The sequence below is a fragment of the Homo sapiens genome, chromosome X (genome assembly GCF_000001405.40).
Source record: "Homo sapiens chromosome X, GRCh38.p14 Primary Assembly".
Taxonomy (NCBI): Eukaryota; Metazoa; Chordata; class Mammalia; order Primates; family Hominidae; genus Homo; species Homo sapiens.
This window is the reverse complement of record NC_000023.11, coordinates 96927946-96953293: the sequence shown is the minus strand read 5'-3', so window position 1 is coordinate 96953293 and position 25348 is coordinate 96927946. Positions and strand designations below refer to the sequence as shown.

General features: G+C 33.6%; 1 protein-coding gene across 2 annotated transcripts in view; it reads right to left on the bottom strand.

The window, feature by feature from the left end:
• DIAPH2 (diaphanous related formin 2) overlaps positions 1–25348 on the bottom strand; it is a 920156-nt gene that overhangs the window by 651704 nt on the left and 243104 nt on the right. For both annotated transcript variants that reach the window (NM_006729.5, NM_007309.4), the window contains exons 10-15: positions 22451–22561; positions 15943–16061; positions 13912–14028; positions 11158–11276; positions 7703–7767; positions 4255–4359 (exon numbers count right to left, since the gene is read on the bottom strand). In NM_006729.5, the coding sequence (NP_006720.1) occupies positions 4255–4359; positions 7703–7767; positions 11158–11276; positions 13912–14028; positions 15943–16061; positions 22451–22561 (636 nt within the window). The remainder of the gene's footprint in view (positions 1–4254; positions 4360–7702; positions 7768–11157; positions 11277–13911; positions 14029–15942; positions 16062–22450; positions 22562–25348) is intronic.

The window sequence follows — 25348 nt, the reverse complement described above, 5'->3', positions numbered from 1 at the left end:
ATTACAGACATCTGTATTATTGAGGGGAAACTCAGGATTTTAAGTTCCATAAAATATTGAACGAACTCTGTAAAACATTAACAACTTAATAAACAAATTTTCAGTGAACAACAAAAAAAGCTAATTAAATTTCTTGGGATAGTGTCCTTTTTGTCCTCACCCATTCATTCATTCATTCAGAGACAGTCTCGCTCTTGCACAGGCTGGAGTACAGTGGCAAAATCATAGTGCATTGCAGCCTTGACCTCTAGGACTCAAGTGATCCTCCCATCTCAGTCTCCTGACTAACTGGGACTACAGGCATGCACCACTACCCCAGGCTAATTTTTTTTTTTTTAAGATGGGGTCTCACTATGTGGCCCAGAACAGTCTCAAATTCCTGGGCTCAAGGAATCCTCCCACCTTGGTCTCCTAAATTGCTGGTATTAAAGGCAAGAGCCACTGTGCCTAGCCCTCTCACCATTATTAATATAAATGTTCTACTTGGATTATTTAGTTCTTCTAACTGAATTTATAAATACCTTTTTCATTTATTTTATTTTATTTTATTTTATTTTTGAGACAGAGTTTTGCTCTTGTTGCCCAGGCTGGAGTGCAGTGGCACAATCTCAGCTCACTGCAACCTCTGCTTTCCGGTTTCAAGCTATTCTCCTGCCCCAGCCTCCCGAGTAGCTGGGATTACAGGCGCCTGCCACCACTCCCGGCTAATTTTTTGTATTTTTAGTAGAGATGGGGATTCACCATGTTGGCCAGGCTGGTCTAGAACTCCTGACCTCGTGATCTGCCCGCCTCGGCCTCCCAAAGTGCTGGGATTACAGGCGTGAGCCACTGTGCACAGCCATAAATATCTTTAGAAAGTAAGCTGAAGCAAATGTTTGGAACAACCAGTTGAAAGGACTGACCTATTTACAAAAATATTAAAACTAACACTCATAGGTAGACAAGATCATGGAAAGGTTACCCATAATATTCACTCACACTAGTTTTTTCACATAGATGAATGTTAATGTATGTATATACATACATACAACTAAAGTGTTTCTATACTTAGCAAATAACCATCCTCTCCTGGAATGCAATTTTCTCTCTGAGGTTAGAAAGAAAGACAAGATTAAAATATGTAAAATTATTTTAATTTTACTTTGAAAGTAGCAAAACTATGGAAAACAGTCTCATTTTATAGTCTTAACTGAGATAAAAGTAATTGTGGCAAAATTAAAGGTTCAGAAAATTAGTAATTTATCCTACAAATTTTGTGTATGACATGATATTTTTCATACTTCGAAAGGCAAAATGTGTGTCGTTTCCCATTTTTTAATTAATGGACAACATAATTCAAAGTAATATACATTTGTAAACATCAGTCAATTTTTCACCTCTATTAGATCACATTTATTTTGGGAATTTTATACAACCACAAAATGCTATTATTTAAATAAAATTTTACTCAAGTTAAATATATATTTTACAGATTTAATAAGGAATCTCAAATATTTATATTAAATGCTACCAGCCTTTAAAAATCAAATCATATCAGCCTTTCCTTTCCCTCCCATGAACAATTAGGAATTGAATAATTAAATTAGGCTACCACATCGTATTGCAAATTGAATATGGTAAATGAATAATTTAGTATTTGACATTATTTTGGGCACACTAGAAAGTATACAGCCCTGTGCCTGCACCTGTAATCCCAGCTACTCCTTGGGAGGCTAAGGTAGGAGGAATGCTTGAGGCCAGGAGTTGAGAATGCTTCGTGATTCTGCACTTTTTACAGTTAATTTAACCATAAGTAAGCAACTACTCACTGTGCGGTAAAGGCCTGTGCTAGGTACAGTGGGGCCTTTAATAAGAAACACACTGTCCTCAAGGTGTCTATGCTCTAGCAGAAGAAATAGAGCAGGCACACAAATATCCCATGAGTGGTCTAGAAAAGTGATATGAAAGTTCGGAGAAATTCGCTAATGGAGTTTTTGGTGAAGCTTTCCAAAAGATGTCTTAATGAGCTTCTCCTTAAAGGATACATTTCACACACACAGATGAGCAAAGGAGGGAATTTCTTACAGAGAATAATGTATGCCAACATTTCTCAACTAAGCTCTATGAAAACACTATTTCCAGGAGATGTTGAAGGGTGCTCTGAGATAAAGGGTGCTGTGGTCAAATGAGTATGGGAAATCTATATGAAAAAGAGGTAGGCAGGTTTCTTCAGTGTAAAATATCTGGGACCTTTAATATGCTAATGAGTATTATGAATCTCTAAGATGAGAATTTCATGCGTACTCAATTTATTGGACTATGGAATGCTTTCGTCATGAACAACCTATTGCCATTTCTGTAACTAATCTCTGGGAAATGCTGGCAGAAGGGTTAAGTATGGAGACAGTAATTTCCAAATGTGAAGGGAGGAAAGGTGACTTAGCTGCAACAGAGGCTGTAGTTAGGGGAGCAGTCAGAGCCTAGGCTGCAAAGGGGAGATAAAGGAGGAAAAACTCATGCCAGAGGGTCTTAACATTCCTGGTAAGGAGATTTTATTTAATCCTGTCTGCAACAGGCAACAAGTGAACATATTAAAGGCTGGAGTAACAATAATCAGGGAATTGTTTCAGGAAGATTAATTTGCCACTGACATAAAGGATGAATTTGAGGAGGGAGAAAAGTTAGGCAACAATTGTAATAGTCCAGGCGAGACATCATAAGAGAGGGGACCTGGAGGTTTCTGGGGTTTGATGCGAAGAGGTGTAGTATGAGTGGAGTTGAAGAAAGAACAGACATAAAACTGACTAGCTTAATTTGTCAGTGGGTGGGGCAGGGAAAAGGGAAAGAAAACTCCAGCTTCACCATCTTTAAAATTGGTAGTAAAATTTAAACAGGAAATGGACAACAAACTGGTTTGAGGAAAGAGACAAAACCACAAAACTGGGTTTGATTTCAACATGCAACAGGACCATCCTATGGGGGTAGCTAATCACGAGCTGGAACTAGAAGACAAACTCAAGAGACTTGACCCCTACTAAAAGGGGATATGTGAATGTATGATACTGAATGGAACAGTACAGCAAAAATATACACAAAAAAGAAAAGAGCAGAGGACAGAATATTGTGGAAGGTCACCATTTGAGGATGAAAAAATAAGGAGAAACTAAGTTCTCAAACATGTAGAAAAAGAAGTCCAAGAAAAAGAGAGGGAGGGAAACAGACAGAGAAAGAGATTAATTTATTGAAAAGAAATGATCAAATATTAGAGATAAGTAATACAGGCTAAGGGTAGGAAAAGGCCCCCGGATTGGGTATTATGGAGTTTGTTGGTGACTTTTGAAGTAATCGTTCACTAGACTGGTGGAAACAGACCTAGTCAATCAACAAATATCTACTGAGCACCCACTATGTTAAGACATCATCTTCAACTTCTTTTTTTTTTTTTTTCTTTTTTTCAGACGGAGTCTCGCTCTGTCACCCAGGCTGGAGTGCAGTGGCGGGATCTCGGCTCACTGCAAGTTCTGCCTCCTGGTTTCACACCATTCTCCTGCCTCAGCCTCCCGAGTAGCTGGGACTACAGGAGCCCACCACCACTCCCGGCTAATTTTTTTTTTTTTTTTTTTTTTTGTATTTTTAGTGGAGGCGGGGTTTCACACTGTTAGTCAGGATGGTCTTGATCTCCTGACCTCGTGATCTGCCCGCTTCCGCCTCCCAAAGTGCTGGGATTATAGGCGTGAGCCACCATGCCTGGCCCATCTTCAATTTCTTAATATTAATTTAAGACATAAAGTATATTGAGGAGAATACACAATCAGTTTGAAAGTTTAGACACCCTAATTGAAATTTTAAGTATATATGGGAGCTTTTCACCATAGGAAATGTAGGTGGAAATTTACTTGAGATTCAAAGAGATCTCAAGAAGCTTTTGGGATAATTACAATTAATGACTATTTCTACATTCTTTTTGAAAGAAAATAGCATGTACCCAATTTTTCAAATCATCACGAAAATTTCATCTCAAAAACACTTTTGCTTGTGTAATATATTCTATTAAAAATATTCAGGGCCATTTGAGCAACTAATGCTTTATTTTTTTTCCAAGCATTAAAATGATTTATTGCCCTGGAATATAAAATCTGTATAGTTATTTCAATGAAAATGTAAAACTGCCAAAAAGTCTGCTTCTGGTCACATTTTTCCTTCTATATAACAAGATAATTTTCTACCATCAAACTCATTGTGACATGACACAAAGTCTATATCTTCTTTCATTACCTGGGTTCGAAGTTGCTGGATTTCTGCTTCAAGTTCTTTGATTTTCTCATCTCTTTTTTGAAGCTCTGCTTGAGCTTCCTGTCGAGCTGTGAATTCTTCATCGAACTGCAATGATCACCATCAATGTACAGTTAATAATATAGTTTTCAGAACGCTTTAAAGAACATTATGTATTAAATAAGTGGAGTGGTTTTTACTTAGTTGAATTCCCAGATCACTCAGAAAATCACAGCTTGTAATTATTTTCATAACAATTAAGTATCCAAGTGGAGGTGGGGTAGTAAAGAAGAAATATGCCCCCTACCCAAGGTAAGAAAACACATTTTCACTTCTGAAAAAAAATACAAAGACAAAAAGGTAGACTGAAAAGTCTCTCTTCACACATAATGAACATTTTTATTGTTTTGGTAATGAAAATTCAATTTTAGAATTAATAATTTTAAAAATATTTCATCCCATACCGTTTGAGACAGAGTTTCACTCGTGTCACCCAGGCTGGAGTGCAGTGGCATGATCTCAGCTCACTGCAACCTCCACCTCCTGGGTTCAAGCAATTCTCCTGCCTCAGCCTCTCAAGTAGCTAGGATTACAGGTGCGCACCACCACACCTGGCTAATTTTTGTATTTTTAGTAGAGATGGGTTTCACCATGTTGGCCAGGCTGATCTTGAACTCCTGACCTCTGGAGATCCACCTGCCTCGGCCTCCCAAAGTGCTGGGATTACAGGCGTGAGCCACCATGTGCAGCCTCATCCCATACTTTTAAGTTTAATGAATTAGAAAATGAAATCTAAAAATAAACCATCAAGCAGTTTCAACTCCTTAACTATATTTAATCTTGAAAAGAAATTGCACTTTTAGAATGCTCAAATGTACGTATATTAATACAAATTGGAATTGTTTCTATTACAATCTTAGTTGTCTAGAATCCATAAAGCAGTACTTCACAAACTCTGACAGTAGGATGCCCTAATAGCAGTCTCATTCAGATGGTTAACCAAAACATTTGTATAGCATGTTATGAGAGGAAAAACTAGAGGTTAAAATATGGGGTGCTAAGCCAAAAAGACTGAATGGTTAATATTTATTCACTGTATCCTGCCTTAGCCCTTACCTCAGACAGGGCTCTAAGCAGGCACAAACCTGCCTGCATATTTCCAGTGAATACTGCCTGGGACTGGCTATAGAACATTTTATTTGCCCTTTATTGTCAATGTTGTTTCAAGTCAATTTAGAAGTCTATACATTATTCTAACAATGTTATTTCTGTTTCTAAAAGTGATACATCTACTGCCCAAAACCATCTTAAGAGTTTGTGGAACAATGCAAAAGTATGTTCACTGTTAACAAATATTCATCCTCATAGTAGCTTTGACCTTTGGAAATTATAAAATGCCATTCTGATCTAAGTCTGAAGAGTGGGTGAGCAAACTGGATAATAATACTGTTTGGGTCGAACCTGAAATGCTTTTATTCATCTCTCCTTGAATCCCGGGAAAATGTCCCACAGATCCTGGCCCAAATATTCTCTAATTTCTTTAAATTTCAAACCTACCCCAGATCCTTGGAGTGAAGGATCCATATATCCTTCAGTCAATGACCTCGTTTTCCTACTTCATTAAGAAGATGGATATCCTCCAATGTGAGCTTGTTTGCCTTTACTACTATCCGTGTTAAGATTTATCTCAATCTGTACTCCCATCCCCACTCCTAAAGTTAGCTTCTCCTATGTGCTTCTAAATCATGGCACCTACACAAGCACACTATACACATTTTTTCCTCTAAAAATGGTTTATTAGTATGTTGGAGGAGAGGCACACAATGTTTCTGCTTTTAATTTAAAATTACCTTAATCTGCAAACACAGCAAACGGGGATCACAGAAGCCTGAAATATGTGAGCTGGAAGAGGTCTTCTTACAAGTCCGCTAATTTTATTCTTTCCTTTTAATGATGAAGAAACTAAGATCTAAAGAGAGTAAGTGGCTTACCCAAAGTCACAGCTAATTAGTGGAAAAGCTGAGATCAGATCTCACAACTACTGCCTCTCATTCTAGTACTTGTTAAAAAATGACTTTATACTGCCTCTTAAAATGACCCAGAACAAGGGGATGCATGTAGCTAACCACTGGGAGACCATACATGTTTTCATTCTAAATGTTGGTGATGACACTAAAGCATCAAACACTGAAATTTCTTTTCTATTACTTTAGGACTCCTTTTTCCATAATATATATGCTCACAAAAAAACTTTACCAGACAGATAATCACAATTTGCTCCAGTCTTGCAGTGTCTAATCACAGTGCCAGCCAAAACTTAAGGAGATTCTAAGGTTTTTCAAAGGGAATTTTAAATGTGCTACTTAAAACAAGAACATTAGAAATATGAAGGTCTATTAATCAAAAAGCATGCATTTTCTTTCACCAATAAAAATGACAGCTCCACACAAACATTTTATGCTCAAGCTCTTAGAATCTATTCTAGTAACTAAAAGAGCAAAGATATTTCTTCAGATGCCCTGAAGTAACTTCTTCAGTAATACTCTATAATTTCTAGAGTGATAGCAAAAGTGATTATCTAATCTCCAAGGTAAGTCATAACTTTGAAGAGACAGCAATATGTAAGCACATTATCTTGCTGAGAGAAGGCTGAAAACTGGAGAGCTTTTAGACATGTGCTTCAATCCTTCTGGCTGCACACAACAGGACAGAAATACTATACTAATGCTTAATAGGCTCTAGAACAAAAAAAGAGAAACTTGTGGTAGAAGCTAATAAAATTATAGCTATGCTTCCATGAAACAAGGAAAAGACAAGCTTAGATCTGAATACAATTCGGATATTCACAAAGCTGGCATTTACTCAAAGGCATTTAAGACATTAACACAGAAAGAAAAGGGATCCTCAAATTCCACCAGGCCTACATGAAGTAGCAGCATCACTTACAAAATGATAATTATGAAATTCAAAGAAGCTAAGTCTAAACAGAGAGAAAGAGAGTGAGAAAGAGAGAAAACACTGCAACATGTTGGTACTATCAATAGCACTGACATAAAAGACCACAACAGAAAAGACTAGCTAAACATCTCACAGTTCTCCAAAGAGCTACCTATTGCAAGCGACAGCTGCAAGAAAGCAAAGGGAGAATTTATTTTGGTTGATTGCTTCCAACTATACCCTTTCAGCAATGTAATTTTATTTCATGTATCACTTTAGTATAATGTGGCTAGTGTTTTTCTTCCATAATGGATTAAACATGATGATGAGGGAACAATAGCAACCTTACCTTATAAGGAAATAAATCAATATTCCACGGCTATGTTTGAACCCAAAAGTATAAAGTACTACATAAATGAAACATTTAGAAGCCCTCATATTAATAAAGAAGGTAGAGTATTACTGTGATTAAATTATTAACCTAACGATTATGGCTAATATTTTATAAGCTTACCTTCTTTGAAAACTCTGCAGCTTTTTGTTCACTTTCTTCAACTTTCGCCTTGTTCACACAAGAATCTATTAAGATCAAACAAAAGTGATTCGAAATTATGGCATGAGATCACTAGACAAAAGACGTCTTCTAGCCTATAACTCTGCAATGCAGACTATCATTTTTATGTCAACCCTTATTAAATGGAAATTGACCTATACTATACATAAAACATAAAAATCATATATTCTTTCTTTAGCATACAAACTGAATTCACTGATAGTATTGTGGAGGCACAAAACCAAGCATCTAAAAATATATTTCATTAAATTATTTTTATGGGTATTCAATTATTTTTGAACTACAAAACACTTCAGAATCCTATGGTTTATTATGGGTGGAGAGGTGGCAAAGACTCCATGTGTAACCTTAATAATATTAATAAGATATGAATAGTCTTAGCAAGATTCAAAATTGTCCTACAAAAAAGCTAGAGAGAGACAGAATAACATTCGATAATTCAGGCTTCTTCATGAAAAGATTTTTACTTAACTTCTGATCTGGGGCAAAATGTATCATGTACATAAGGAAACTAACTTCAAACTTCTCAGGTCAAATCAAACACTTCAGAATATAAACAACTTTTGGGCAATATTGTATCTCTCATTATTTTATGTATATATAAACTCTATTCTGTATCTAGCCATTCCACACTTATTTATCAAAAAGAAATAAAAACATATACCAGTACCCAGAATTTATGTGAATATTCACAGCAGTTTTATTTATAGTAATCCCAAACTCGAAAGAACCTAAATGGCCATCAACAAGTGTATACATAAACAAACTATGGTATATCCATAAGCTGGAATACTACTCAGCAATATAAAGGAATGAACTATTGATACATGCAATACAACAACATGAATGAATCTCAAAATAATTATGCTGAAGGCAAGAAGACAGGCAAAAAGTATATATGCTGTATGTTTCTATTTTTATAAAATTTTAAAAAATGCAACTAATGAGAGAGACTATAAAATGTAACTAGTAAGAGAGAGATCAGTAATATCCCAGGATGGGAAGATGTGGTAGACATGGAAAGAAAGAACTAAAAGGACAATGCAGTTAGGGGGTAACAGGATTATTATCTTGATTTTGATGATGGTTTTAAGTGTCTATATTAATAGCAAAATTTATCAAATTGTATACCTTAAATATGGGTAGTTTTTCTTACATCAAATGTACCTCAATAAAGCTGGTTTGTTTGTTTGTTTGTTTAAAGCAACTGAGGAGGAAAGTAGGAAATGACGAAGTCAAAGAACAGCCGAATCTAAGCTGTCCTAGCCATGGCTGGTAATGATTTAGAATTTAAATTTCAATGGAAAGGCATCAGAGAGTTTCAGGCAGAGATCTGATACGATCTGATTTATGAAAGATATCAGACTCAAAGAATTGTTAAATTACAAGAGACTAATCTCTTCAGGTCCAAGTCATCTTGAAATACAGATCCATGGGTTTCCTAGAAGTTCTTGAAGCACCTGATAATTTTTTGTGTACATGAACATATGTGTGTTCTAATCAAAGTTCCAAGTATTTGTCAACTTCTCACAAAGGATTTTGAACATAAAATATTAAGAGCCACTCATATATGTGACTTATTCAATTTTAAAGTTGAGGAAACTAAAACCTAGAGAAGTTAAATGATTTGTTCACAGTCGCAGAGATGACATGTGGATAACATCACAATGGGTTTATGATGCTGACTATCCTCTCTCACCTGATCCGTTCGTCTCTCCTCACCCAACACTTTTGATTAATAGTAAAGAATCATAAGTACCTGGTACACAGTACACAAAACAAACGTCTGTTGAATACTGAATACTACTTGACTAAATTATTATTTTTTATAGGTATTCAATTATTTTTCAACTATAAAATACTTCAAAAAACTATAGTTTATTATGTGAGAGGTGACAATGACTCCATGTTTAAGATTAATAAGATCAAAATCAACAATAGTGTATGTGTCCTAACTATGGTCTATAATGGATTATAAGCTAATATACATATTTGAAAATAGTCCCTTATGACTCCCTCAACAAAATGCAAAATAAACTTGTTTTTCAAACTCATTGAAAAATATGCAATGAGGCTAAAATTCACAATCACTTCTGGGTAAATTGGCACAAGCTTTCTGAAAAGCATTTGGCTTTTTGAAAGTTCATACCCTCACTTACAGAAATCAATCCTAAGGAAATAGTGAGAAAAAGCCAAACATTTATATACAAGAATGTTGACAGCACATTCATTTATAACTGTGAAAATCTAAAAGCAATTATGAACGCACAAAAAGAAAGGACTGGTTACAACGACTATGGTATTTCACAAAATGGAATATTATACAGACATTAAAAGTCACATTTTGAAGGTTAATGTGGAAAAACTCTCATAATATAAAGTTCCAAGAAAAATCAGCATACAGAGAGATAGATAGGTCATAGAGAAAGAGATATAAGGAAATGTACCAAGCTGAAAAGGGAGCGATCACGAATGTGATTGGTGGTTTGTCACTTATGTAAGTCTCTGGATTGCCTGAAATAAGTATGCATTACATTTAAAACAGAAATAATACATAAATAATAAGTTATCCATCTTTGAATGTTACTGTGTATCTGCCTTGTGCTGTGGAGTCAAAAATAATATATAATTGGCATATAATAGTTGTTTTCTTTCTTTAAATATAAGACAAATGAGTTCATGCTTAAACCTTAACAATAGTGATTCCAATTAAGTATAAATAAGACTGCTTAGCCATAAGGCTAGATAGCATAGCACATTTCACAAGGGAAGGTTCAGATCATCCTTCAGAGGTTGTTCTGAAAAGTACTGCTAACTACCAGTCTAGGATGATATAAAGTCATTTCCTCAGCAATCTAAGGAGATGAATATGATCACCTCAAATTCTTTCTAACTCTAAGGTCTATGAAAATATAAATTGATCCATTTGATACCCTTAGAAGGTCTCAAGCTATTGAAATGAGCCTGTATTTCTTTTCTAAAACTTGGGCATTAATAACATAACTATAATGAGACCCCATTGTATACATGATTTCTACAAGACCACTAAGGTACCAGTATAAAATGAAAAGATTTCAGAGTCATGTTTCTAAATAGTAATGCATTCATCTATAATAATGTAATGGGTTTTTGTGGAACACTAAGCTTAAACTACCTCCAGGAGTGTTGGAACTTATTAAACAGGTTAATATTTCTAATCACACAGGCAGAACTCTCATGATCATTATAATTAACAATTACAGCAATTGAGTGCCCAGAGACACAATGATTTACCAGATATGAATAGAAGTTCAGTAAGAACTGAAGCTTCTTACTGAACTTCTTCACTTAAAAAGTGCTTATAATACAGAAGGCACAAAACACAATCAGAGGACAATGAGGATTATGATACATACCTATCAGATGAGTTAAATCGATGTCTAATCTTTGCCTGTATTTGAAGTCTGGATCCATACCACTGCAGTGTAGCACTATCTGTGAAACACATTCCTCAATTATTTTATAATATTGTGGCCTGAAAAGGAGAGAAAGTACTCATGAATGCCTTTCTAACCATGCAGATCAATTTGCTTTAGAAAACATTCAACATATTAGAAGAACTAGGTCTTTTTTCTGGAGTTGTTTTAAAAAATCCTGCAGCCACTACACTTTCTTAGGACAAGCATGCCTAAGCTTAAGGATGGTCTGGGTGTTACAGTACCAAACCCATTGTGATGTAATCAACTACATCTAGTGACTTCATAATCTAGTTTGCAGGGATTCATGCTTGTGTTGAAAGATACTTATCAACCTTTTCTATTTACTTATGCTATTGTTTCTAAAGTTAATAAAAACAAATGAGCCATTAGTCCTACATTCATGGATACAGAAATGGTTCTACGCATCCACAGGTTCTCAATTTCAATAAGGGATGAGTTTCTTCACATTACGTGGCAAGCAATGTCTTGAATTTACTACAGCACTTTTAGTCAAGATAGCTATAACAGCTTACAAAACTGGACAGAGCCACTTATATTACAAGACTATCCAAGGATCTATTTATGCAACACATTTTAAAAGACCCATTTTATAAAAGCATACACACTTAATATGCATGGCTATTGCTTCAATTTGTTTAAAGTGTCAGAGGTTTTAAAACATATCCTAATTCTGTAATCCATCAGCGTAATTCTGGCCTTAAAAATGACCACTCACATACTGCAAAATTTTTTAAAAGGCACTTTTGCATTAAAATTTGGGTAAGATTTAGTATTTGTCAAAGGATAATAAATTCAACAGAGAAAAATCAGTAGTAAGAAGTACGACTATAGACAAATTATGATATAAACTTCCCTAAATATAGTGTGCTGATAAATAGCCAACCTACTAAAAGTTTGTAAATGAAGCCAAATAGACTCTAATTGCTCTTCTATGTCTTTAGTAATGGGTCTGGTCCCAAGAATAAGAATAAATAGTAATACATATTACAAATCTGGTTTTTTTCAAGTCATCTTCGGGTCTAGAGTAAATAATATTGGATTATAACCTCAGTCTAGTCAATGGTTAAATAAGGAAAACACAGCTGGGGCCAGGTTAATCATCCCTAAGTGGAATAAAATGCTTGTCACACTTCTGCCTCACATGGATGTTCTTAGGATGAAAAACATGCCATATGAGGATAACTTCTTATTTATTCATAGTTGCTGAGAAATGGATACTTTCACATAAATGATGTTCCCCAGGTAACTGAGTACCTTTGGGCACAGTACCCCTTTTAAATTTGTTAGAACTTAATTAAAAATACAACAATAATTTTTAACGTATAACCAGCCTTGTTGCTTAAAAAACAGCACACAATTTAATATTTTAAACATTTTTTATCTCTCTGTAATGTCACGATGCCCAACAAATTACTGTACTGGTCTGAACTATAATAGTTCTCTATGCTGCTTTACAGTTGTAATTTTTGTTGAGACTGTGCTGACCTCATGGTAGCTTTCCTTTTCCATTTAATCAAGCAGGTTTTGAGAAATCAAAGAACCTAGGTTGTCAGAATTTCACGCAAATCAGAGTATGAAGAACAACTAAGAGTCTCTTGAACAGTTAAATGTAACATCATGGTCACCAGTCTGTGGATAATTTCAGTCACTCAGAAGCCTTTTCATAACTTTGTGGTTTTCCGATATATTCCCAGTTAACTAGATTCTAAAACTTTTAACTTTAATGGTTATTTTCATACTCATTTATTTTGAAGGATGACACTACTAGACATAAAACTGAAATATTAGCACTTTTATTTTCTTAGATGTTAAGATCACATTTATTAGTAGATAAATACTGTAAAAAGAGAAATAACAGTAAAACCTTACTTAATATGCACAAGATAAAACCTTTAAAGTTCTATCCCAGAATCTTCAGTGCTTTTTCTGTGATATCACTATCTAGCAAAGAAAATTCATTGCAGGGCCAGTGCAATCTGTTGGGTTCATTGCTACCAAAGTCCTGTCGCTGGAGTACCCCATTTTTACAAGTGCATCTGTCTCTTCTGGCCAAATTTAAAAAATGAACACCTTTTAAAAAATGTTACCTGGGCCGGGCGCGGTGGCTCACGCCTGTAATCCCAGCACTTTGGGAGGCCGAGACGGGCGGATCACGAGGTCAGGAGATCGAGACCATCCTGGCTAACACGGTGAAACCCCGTCTCTACTAAAAATACAAAAATTAGCCGGGCATGGTGGCGCGCGCCTGTAGTCCCAGCTACACGGGAGGCTGAGGCAGGAGAATGGCGTGAACCCGGGAGGCGGAGCTTGCAGTGAGTCGAGATCGCGCCACTGCACTCCAGCCTGGGCGACAGAGCGAAACTCCGTCTCAAAAAAAAAAAAAATGTTACCTAAAGAGTCAAACTCTTATACCCTGTGTGTGTGTGTGTGTGTATATGTGTGTGTGTGTGTATATACACACACACACATATACACACACACACACATATATATATATACATATATACATACATATATATATACATATATATATATACATACATATATATATACATATATATATACATACACACACATATGCATATATTGCTTAGGCCCCACTACATTGTTCATTTTCCTTTAATATCCGATTCAAATTATAAATATAGTACTCTCAGAACTGCCTCTTACCTGATATAATAATCATTTCTGATAAGCAAAAAATGTTGTAGAATAGATAAGAAGTAATTTTCAGCAGCAGTGTCCTTCAGCATATTATATAGAAGATGGTAGACTTCATTCATATCAGTAGAAAGTAAAGGAAAAATATTAAAGATCCTTGATGGAAGTCTCATTCATAACAAAGGAGTTTAACTTTTTAAAACATTGACTTATAATCTTGCTTCCATTACTGTTTTTAAACCTTCAACTCTATGATCCAGTATTTAAACATCTGCATAAAGTAATGATTCTATGGAATCATTTTGATCTTTTAACTAGAGAGACAGACCTCAAGAGCATGTCCAAGACCATTTGACTGTCAAAATCTTAAATGATCCGTTATACATATTTTAAAGTCCAGATTATAGCTGGTACCATTGGAACAGCAATGCCATCAGTGAAAATGGTTTCCTTTTGATCTCCCTGTAGTTGTGATAGAGGACCTATATTATTCATGCAAATCACTACTACTCTATTTTCACTGCCACATAAGATAGAAGGCAAATGAGCATGCTGTAAACTGCTAAGAGGTCACAAAATCAGTTTTATGTTATCCAGATGAAATACTAAATCTGAAATTATTATTGTTTGCATTCATTTGTATTTCATTATTTGATAAAAAATGGAAAGTAGAGACAAGATATAGAGTTGCAGAAATTTAGATGCTTTTAGTAAACTAGAAATCAGATTTCACAAATGGATCCATTTTTGTAATAAAAGTGAGGACCTGGAAAACCAAGGTAAAATAAAGATAAAAGACAAGATGTAATTCAATATCCTAAAATAACCTGAAATGTCAACATTTTCTCCAAAGTAGAATTAAGCATACGATGGCTTACTTCTTAGACCCCACATAAGAGTGTTGTGCTAAAGTCTCATGAGGTCCTTAAATGGCTACACAATGCATCCAAAAATAGTTTTATGGTGAAGTTTGATTATAAGAGGAATCTATGTAAAGCAAGATATTAATTGATATGAAAAACATTTAATATTATAGAAGCCACAGTAGACTGGCACCACTAATGATGAATAAAAATTACTAGAAATTATTCCTTAAAATAATAACATTGTTATTCATTGCACACACATTTATCCAATACCTATGTGTAAGACTTTCATAGATGCATTGAAGGAAAAAAGATTAAACATAACATTTCTGCCCTCAATCTCACAGGGGCACAGAAGTGTACATAAATAAAATAGAACAAACAAGGTACTTTGGGTATTTCAAGGAGGGGAATATTACTTCCAGCTTTGGGGAGTGGGGGCAAGCAGTAGGAAAGGGAAGAAAACATCATTGAGAAAAAATCCAACTCAAAGGTCACTTTGGTTTTGACATGTTTCCCAGGTTCACCAGAATCCATTAAGTAAGAAACATAACAGGTGCGAAACAAATGGCCAGCAATGCTGTGACAACCATCTCTTAGATCTAAAATCATTTTATATAAAATTGCTGCCGTCGGAAGGTTATATGCTAGCTGTATTTGACTCAGATGCTTCTACCACATAGCTTTGCTATATTCAGATTCTATTGCATCTAAACATTTTTGTTATTGTTAAGAAACACAAATATTTGAATACAGAATAAGACATTTATTTGAATTGCTTTTTATCTCTAAGTCACTGAAGCTTGATTTAATAAACTGAATAAGTATTTCACCTATAGTCACATATGAACGCAGTGAAATTTTCCCCAAAAAAATCCTTACATGTAAGATATATTGCCTTATGCTATTCTTTATTCAAGACCACTGAGTAGAGTATATCTATAATACTGTGAGCCATTGTGCAGATTTCAATACACTCTGTGTAAATCATCAAGACAGCCTGACAATTCCTCAACATGAATCTCAAGGACAGCATCATAGTAAGGTTCTAATATAAATAAATGGATATAAATTGGGAGGGCAGACAAGAACTCTAATAATGTTCCACAAAATCGCCCACAAATCCCTTTCTCACAATGCAAACAAAATTGTTTTGTGGTTTGTCAAAGGATATTCCATTTCTGCTCGAATGTCATTGAGACGGTGTGATAATTCAGTTAGGTCATCTTCTTTGTTTTCATCAAATACTTTCAACTGAATATCAAGCTCATCATTCTCTTTTTCTTTTAGATCCTAATATATAAACATAAAATTTAACACATGAATAACAGTTTGACAACGGCATATTTAGGTAATAAAGGGCAGAACACAATTATTCATTTATAAACACAGAAGCAATTTCAAATATTTATGCGGGCACTTGGTTTTCTGAAAGTAATTGTAGCTAAATTTTTCTGTTTCAACATAAAAGGACCTCATTGCATTCACTTCATTTTTTCCATGCCCTACATTTTGATTATTCACATTAAAAAATTAACGATCAGTTCTACAACAGAAAAAAACTAATTGCTAACAACCCAAATTAAATGCTGTCATTTTGACTAAACACACTAATCAAAGATTGCAAAAGAACTCATGCAGTCAGAACATTCACATATGCCTCTGGCAAAAAATGCAAATACAAATCAATTGTATTAATGAAGAACAAATGCAAGGATATATTCAAGCACAACAGTCCCAAGTATGGCTTGAAAAGATGTATAAACACATTTATTTTAAAAGCTATTTTGTGATTTTAAAGCAAAAAGGCGTTTGGACTTTTTATTAAGCTGTACATCTAACCTCCTCCCCCACCTTATATTTTTGCTTAGCTAAATCACAAAATACCAACTTGGGCATAAAAGTTATGTTTTTGTAATACATTATAAGCACATGCATTACAAACCTCTGATAATTTTCATAATAATAGTATAAAAAATTTAGAAGCATGCCACACTAGAGATTGTTGGGCTCAATATATATCACCTGGAATATCTTTTAATATGTGTCCATTAAGTTGCAGCTTTCAAAACCCAAATCGATAATCACAACTGTGGATGCTCAAGGGTGATACCGAAAGTGGGACTAGGATTTTCAGAGCTGAGCTTGAACTCTAAAAGGAAATGCAAGCATGGTGTACTTCAAATTAGGTCGATAAAACAAAATGGGATACATTTCTTGTTTCTATCTTTATTCAATAGAACTATTATAGAGATGTAATGGCTATTACTGAAGCCAAACAAATTTCAGCAATTTCTAGATGCTTTTTTTTCTAACACTCACATACATAATAATTTATTGAAAATTTACCTGCAGAGCATATGAAAATAATTAGTTTCTACACAATTTCATATAAAACATAACAAGTAAATGTATTTATATTTGGTTTCATTTTTAGTAATAACTTGCTTTAGCTCTAGTTTTCCAGTTTGAAATGGAATGAAGAAATTTATTAGAATGCAAAATCATCTAACATTGCTGGGTCATATTATCAGGTGATTTCTGAACTCTATTTAGAAAATTACATAAGCCAGACAAACCCAATACACTGGTCACTGCAGAAACAACCTGTCACGCATTTTACAGTATGTCTTATTCTTGTCACCACATATTCTCTCTCAGAAATTCATCATAAAACTTAAACACTTTCAAATATTTCAGAAAAACAGAAAAATTTAAGTACTGCCATTTAATTAGCATAGAACGTTACAAAACATGAAAATCAGTCAGCATAATTAAAATGCTTTCAGTGAAAATAACTGGTTAAATGTGCAATTTAGTTCTTAATTAGGCCCAGACATTATTTATACAATATACATAGTATATGAGCACATATAGCACAATATAAAATTTAGACATGTGTAAATGCAGTATTTTATAAATATTCTTTATTAATAATGCTCCAGACCTATCAAAGTCAGTCCTCATTTAATTGTCCTCAGTAGTTCTTGGAAACTGCAACTTGAAGCAAAATACGTATAGCAAAACCAATTTTCTTTTCTCATCAATGTTATAATGAAAGGACATTATTCAAGGACCTACTGTATATGGTTTTGATTCAAGGTGCAGTTCGCAAGATCCTATCAATGACATTAACTAAGAACTTACTGTAAATATATATTCATATATACATACACATATATATGTTTATCTTTATGAAACTTCCTTCCAGCAAAATGTCAAGCCTTGAAATATTCATAAATTCTTGATAAAATAATCATTTACTGAATAAAAATTTTTACATAGTACAAATAATAAGATGGGTATCCTATAAAAGTAAATGGAAATCTATCACTGAAGTTTTATATTTTAAAACGTGAACTATCACAAAGTTACTGAAACACACTGTTATTAATTATGTGAAACACTCTATGCTTGTTATTTTTTAAAAAGACATGCGGTATAGATCTAAAATTATTTTTTGCAGAATTCCTGAAATATGTAATTTTCTATAACATAGTGCACTTCAAAGGAAATCAAAGTCCATTGCCAGTACACTGCTGATTAACAGTCAAACAACCAAAATTGAGTCTTTAAAACAAGAAAGAGTTTCTCAGACTTTTAAAGAGATAAAAGTATGCCCACTGCCTACCAACACCATTTCTTACTATGTTTTTCCTTCGCTTATCTGATTTAACTAATATTTTCTTAATTTATTTAACTAAATAAAAGGCAAATGGGGAAAATTTCAGAAGAAATCAATGTAAATTAAGTACAGAAAAAAATCCTATTTTAAAATTCACTGTAGAGTTTGTAACAACTCATTTATTCTAAATTACTAAAGCAAATTTATCAGACGTGAAATTCCATATAAATGAAATACAAACTATTTTTCAACATCTAAATTTAACCATAGGGATGAGAGGAACCTTGAAAATAAATTTTTAAAGAATATAATTTAAAAATTCGTTGTCTTGAAGATTCTGATAATTATTATGAAAAAAAGTTTCACTCTACTACAGTGTTGATCTCAAGGATTACTGAAATACTAAGAACTAGTTTTTCCCAACTCATACTGGTTCTAGATACATATAATTTTTCATCCATGTACCAACAATTAATATTAGCCCTAGTCACATCTAATTTGCTGCTTTGAATATACTGTATTCTAGAATATTAGGGAATTCTTGTTAGAACTGGATATAAAAAAAAGAATAAATAGAAGAAAACGTAAGGATTTTAAAGACAATCTATGACCATATTATTAAGCTTCACTGCATATGTAAAGGATATGTAATGTTACTATAAATTCCAGTGGTTTAAATTTAAATATTTCATTCATTAGTAGGTTAGATAGTAGTTGACATGTGAGGTATGTAGTATATGTTAACCCATGACCATTCTGTCCTGCTCCCAAGTTGTGATAAACTAAAACAATAGTAGTGAAATCTACGGTTCTAAATATATGATCGCTAATCTTCTCAAGGTCTATCTGCCTGAATAATGATTCTACTCTTGTATATGCGATCCCAGCACTTTGGGAGGCTGGGGTGGATCATTTGAGGCCAGGAGTTCAAGACCAACCTGGCCAACATGGCGAAACCCTGTCTCTATAGAAAATGTAAAAATTAGGCCAGGCGCAGTGGCTCACACCTGTAATTCCAGCAGTTTGGGAGGCCGAGGCAGGCGGATCACAAGGTCAGGAGATGGAGACCATCCTGGCCAACATGGTGAAACCCCATCTCTACTAAAAATGCAAAAAAAAAAAAAAAAAAATTAGCCGGGCATGATGGCGCGCACCTGTAGTCCCAGCTACTCAGGAGGTTGAGGCACAAGAATCGCTTGAACCCGGGAGGCAGAGGTTGCAGTGAGCCAAGATCACGCCACTGCACTCCAGCCTGGTGACAGAGCAAGACTCTGTCTCAAAAATAAATATAAAATAAAAAAAATATAAACATATAAAATATATAAATATATATATATATACACACACACATATATATATACACATATATACACACACATATATATATACATATATATACACAAAAATTAGCTGGGTGTGGTGGCACACCTGTATTCCCAGCTACTTGAGAGGCTGCAGTGGAAGGATTGCTTGAGCACAGGAGATTGAGGCTGCAGCGAGCTGTGATTGTGCCACTGCACTCTAGCCTGAGTGACAGAGCAAGACCCTGTCTCAAAAAAGAAAGAAAAGAAGAAAAAGAAAACGGAAAAGGAAAATGAAAAAGAGAAAAAAAGAAAAAGGGAAATGGAAAGGAAAAGGAAAAGGAAAAGAAATACCTGCGGAGGATTTTTTTTTTCCCAACCAAATATGTCTGCCCTATCCTCAATACAGTAAGATTTTAGGGGGACATGCCCAACCTCTTAGTTGAGAATCAGAGTCATATTTAATCATATTTAGCTCTACTGTCTTAGAGAGGAAAAAAAAATTATGAGAATCCTTGTAGGTTCTATTCCAAAACTTTCTCTTCCCACTTTTATCTTGCTGAAGAATCACTGAGATCTGAGAAGCAGGGCATACTGAAGAGATGTGATAAAGAAAAGTCTAATTGGAAGTATATATTAAGAATACCAGAGGTTAGAAAGGGTAGTAGGGTGTGGGGGAAAATAGGGTATGGTTAATGGATACAAAAATACAGTTTGATAGAAGTAATAAGATCTAGTGTTCAGTAGCACAATAGAGTGACTATAGTTCATAATTATTTGTATTACAAAATAACTATAAGGGTAGGATTAGAATATTCCCAACACAAAGAAATGATGAATGCTTGAAGTGATGGATATCCCAATCACCCTGATTTGATCATTACACACCATGTTCTTGTATCAAAATATAAATTTTACCACACAAATATATACAACTATTTTATATCCATAATTAAAAATTATTTTTAATTTTAAAAAAGAATATATAAATTAAGAAGCACATGGTACCACAAAAAGTTTTATATAGGGCTATATGGCCAATGGAAAAGTGTAGCTTAGAAACACAGACACATAATCTTAGCTGTCTGTGTAACCAAATGAATAACATGAGGCCACTGAGCCCAGCAGAGATTAATATACCCAGACAAAAGTGCAAAAGGTTAAGGACAAGAGCTACAATACCATACCTTTTCTGAAAAATGAGGACTAAAATAAATTAAAATGAGAGTCACAGTTCTCTTGACTAGCCATTCAGTAGTATAAAGCAGAAAGTGAATGTTCAATTATAAATAGAGGGGAATGAAAGAGAGAAAAGTAAGAGCAACAACTATGGCAGAAAACATGGCATATTAATAAACGAGTAGAGGATGCTACAGAGCCCTTGCAGCCAGCAAGTCTTCAAAGATGCTACTATAAACAGAGAACCAGCCCAGTAAAAACAAGCATGGAAACCAACAAGAAGGAAATTCAAAAGCAAACTACAATCAAGACCATACGATTATCTTTAGCTATCCAAGGCTACAGGCTTTGGATGAAAAGAAAATTAGTGAAAAAAAAAACAAGAATAATCACATGTCACACTAACTATAATTGGTGAATATGCCTAAGTTAACTGCACAGTTAATCTCTAGATGGGTCACTTAAAATGTTGCTTTGATTCTCTGCAACCAATGCCTTGGTTTTAAGTGTCAAGAATGAAAGAACTGCTTCAGGTGGGATTGACATAGAAATTTCCAAAACCAGGTGGACCCAATCATACATCTTATTAAAATGGATTTAACAGGTCCAATCACACAACTTATTATGATGGGTTTCAACTAGTTTCAGTTAAAAGTATCCCACCATATGTTACAAATTTATGCTACATATTGATTCCTCACCAGGAAATGTCCCCAATTTGGGTATTTCTGGTAGACTAGGTCATACACATGGGCACACACACACACGCACACACATGCACATTCAATGACATTTGTTGTTGTTGTTTTTTTCTCTCCTTAGTGCTTTTTTCTCACTTCCTTACTTTTACTTCTTGTCTCTCAGGTATATTCTGAGTAGCTTAAAGACACTAGCAGAATTTTACTTGTCTTGAACAATGCCATAGTCTGCAATAGTCACTCTTCAGTTAATATACTTAATAAAATATAAAACCACAGTAGTTGTATTTGTATTTATAAAAATAAGTGTGCTCATTTATTTCAGATTCAGCATACAAAATCATTCCAAAAATGTTTTTAACACTATCATAATTACAGCAAATATTCACATTTAATTTAAGAAACAAATTGTTTTTGATCTGAAAAGTTCCTATAGCCTTGTAACAAGAGTAACATTCTTAAGCAATGTGTCTAGCATATGCTAATCAAAACTCTATGCATGCTTATCCTGAATACCAATGAAATCAATCTAGGTTATCAAAGAGGAAAGCAGAATATTTTAAATGAAAATTGAAACTCCAAAAAAAAAGTCTCATGTTTTCAATATTCAAAATTCAAAGAAAAGAAGTCCCTTTTGACTTGAGGGAAACAACAAAAAACAAAAACACATCGCTTCTGGGTACATTATTAGCTGAATTCTGAATCATCATTTGTATGTAGAGAATGCTATTACTGGAATACAAAAAAGCTTACAAAATGTCTAATGCTTTACAAAACAAAATAGCAAAGCACATTTATTTACTCTGCTTCAAGTACTTTTGTGGAAGTGAAAAAAATTTTAAAATTCATCAGCATAATAAATGTATACATTCAACTTACTGGTAACATTGTTTTTAGTCCTGAACGGAGGAATTCATTCCTTAAATGTATTCGAAAATCAAGCTCATAAGGAGAAGTGACAAGGGCATTTATAAACTGCATGCAGGCCACCTGCAATTAGAAAGCAAATTTTGTTTTAAAAAAACACATTAAATTAATGAAATAATGCATTAAGATAATATATTCACTAAAGGCATACACACATAATGATAAAATAAGAAATGCAAATATTTCTAGAAGTATAATGATTATGACTTTAATTATAAACAATAAAATTAACGACAAAGTGTATAATGTCCAAAATAATTCTAACAAAGATGTGATGACCAAGTATGTTATGCTTTTAAAAATAATATGAAGAAATATTAAACTCCCTCTGAAAAACCCAAATTGCAAAAGTGGGCAGACAGAGCCCTTTGAAAAGATCACAAAATGTATCTTTCATGTCCAGTGGTCCTCACAGTACACTTGGCCTCAATTCTACAGGGTTATAAACACTTCTAAAATAAATCAAAGATATAAAAGTACCCTAATATTAAACAGGGAACAGTGATAACTTAGATAAATTATTACATTGATTTAAACTCTCTCCATCCTCTTAATGGGATGATTTGTACAAAATATATAAAGTATTAAAATATATAATTAAGATGAATTAATTTACTAGGTTTGAAAAAATAATGGAAGTGAATTAAGATCAATTAGAAGGCACTGGGAGACTAATACTAATGCACATTTCATAATAAAGCATATGTAAGAGCTTGTTTTCAAGTAAAGTATTTGATTAAATATATTGATACCGAAAAATGAGTTTTGCTTTTCTTACCTTCTGATTTTGAGATTCCCTATTATAAAAAGGAACTTATTTGCTGGTAATTTTAATCTAGAAGGGAATCAACAAAATGCTAAGTGCCAGGTATTCCATAAATTATTCCTAAGTAGCATTTTTGGAAAATGCTGCTCAAATCTAAGGTAACTGGCTAATTGTTTAACTGAAAAGATGCCATTTAAATTTATTATTTTTTTATTTTTAAAGAATGCAATGAGTAGAAGAGTGCTCAAAGGGCAAACTACAAGGGGAATCCTCGGAAAAAAACATATTATATAAAGATACTAAGTATTTATAGAAGCAGACACAAATAAATTAATAGTTAGCATGGGAAAAATATATTACCGAAAGACAAATATTTCAAATGTATTTTGACTTGACATCTACAGATCTATTATGATAGAGTTATTTTTTCCAAAATAGGGAGAAGAGATTAAAAGGTATGCTTTACTTTTGAATCTGTATCTTATATATTTAAGTTGCTTTTTGGGAGATTAGCCTATCTGCCTCACATCTATGTTCAAAAATCAAAAGTTACATGCTTTAAAAGGGCTGATTAAGGTTGTTTCTAACATGACCAGATATCTGAATGATACAACAATATAGTCTAATTTCTATGAACATTCAAGTATCAAGATAAAACACTTAGGCAACTGACTAAATATTTGCCATACATTTGGCATTACCTTTAAAGACATACCAGATAAGTTAGTATGAAGCTTATGCTTTAATGGATTACTTAACCTTCCTATTTACAACAGGAAATCATGTAAATCTTTAAATAGTTTTGATAGGCTAGGCTATAAATTTGCATACTGTACATGTCCACAGCTATATTATCATTGTATTTGCTTGAATGACTCTTGTTATGTTACAACTATGACATGACCAAACAAGCCAAAGTGCATGTCCAATCCAAAATTAATAGAGAGAAAAGTTGCCATCTGTTAGGATTGTTTTTGCCAGAAGAAATTCTAGCTTAATGGCTTGTATTAATACCCTACAAGTAAAGAGAACATTTCTGTAAGAAACAAGTTAATGAGTCCTGCAATTGTATCTTTATACAAATAAAAGTATTCAGATCAGGAGACAATAAAGATAATAAAAGTCAATAAAATTAATGAATGTATCAATATAACTTTAATAATGTTTCAATATATTAAATACTCACTTTACATACAATGTATGAACATATAGTTTAATATGAAAACAAAGACGTTCCATCCATTGACTATAGTACACAACAATTAGGAGATATTGTGAAGTCAGTTTTAAAATGGTAAAGGTACTGGCTTAACAATGTACCATTTATTATATATCATATTCTAATAGATATTTAATTAATTACAAATAACAGATGAATAAACATGCTATCATGTCATTTTCCAACATAAGCTGATAAAATAATATTCTTTTACAGAAATATGTATATTGTAATATGAATGTGGAAAACAAAAAGGTCATCTAAATTTTTGCTATTCCTTTATGCCGTTACACAAGTGCTGCCCTTTTCAGAGAATAGAAACGATATCTCAAATTCAAAACTGAAATAATTGTCACTATTTACAAATACAAAATTAAATTTAAATTAGCTTAAAGGGAAGAATATATTACTACTTAATTATAAACATGACAAACCCATTCTGTGTATCCTGAATTCATAGCTAAATACGAAATCCCAAACTATTATCACCATTATTATTATTAGTTATTAGACAATGTATTAGGTCCTTTACATAATTCACCATCTAATCTCATCTTCATAAAAACCACACAAGATTAGTATTACTGTTATCCTTATTTTACAGATGATGAAGTGGAGGCTCAAAGCAGATAGAATAACTTTATATAAGGCCACACAGCAAGGAGGAAACTCATGACTATAAATGATATAATTTTACTACAAATATAATTTCCAGCACATTCCAAAGGTCTCATAAACTCCATTTATAGATTCTCGCAACAAAAGATTTTAAGGATGGGTAAGATGATAAAATTTAACTGGTGCAACATGCTTAATATACTGGGGATATGTAGCTTTAAAACTATAGGTTAATTAGAAAAACATA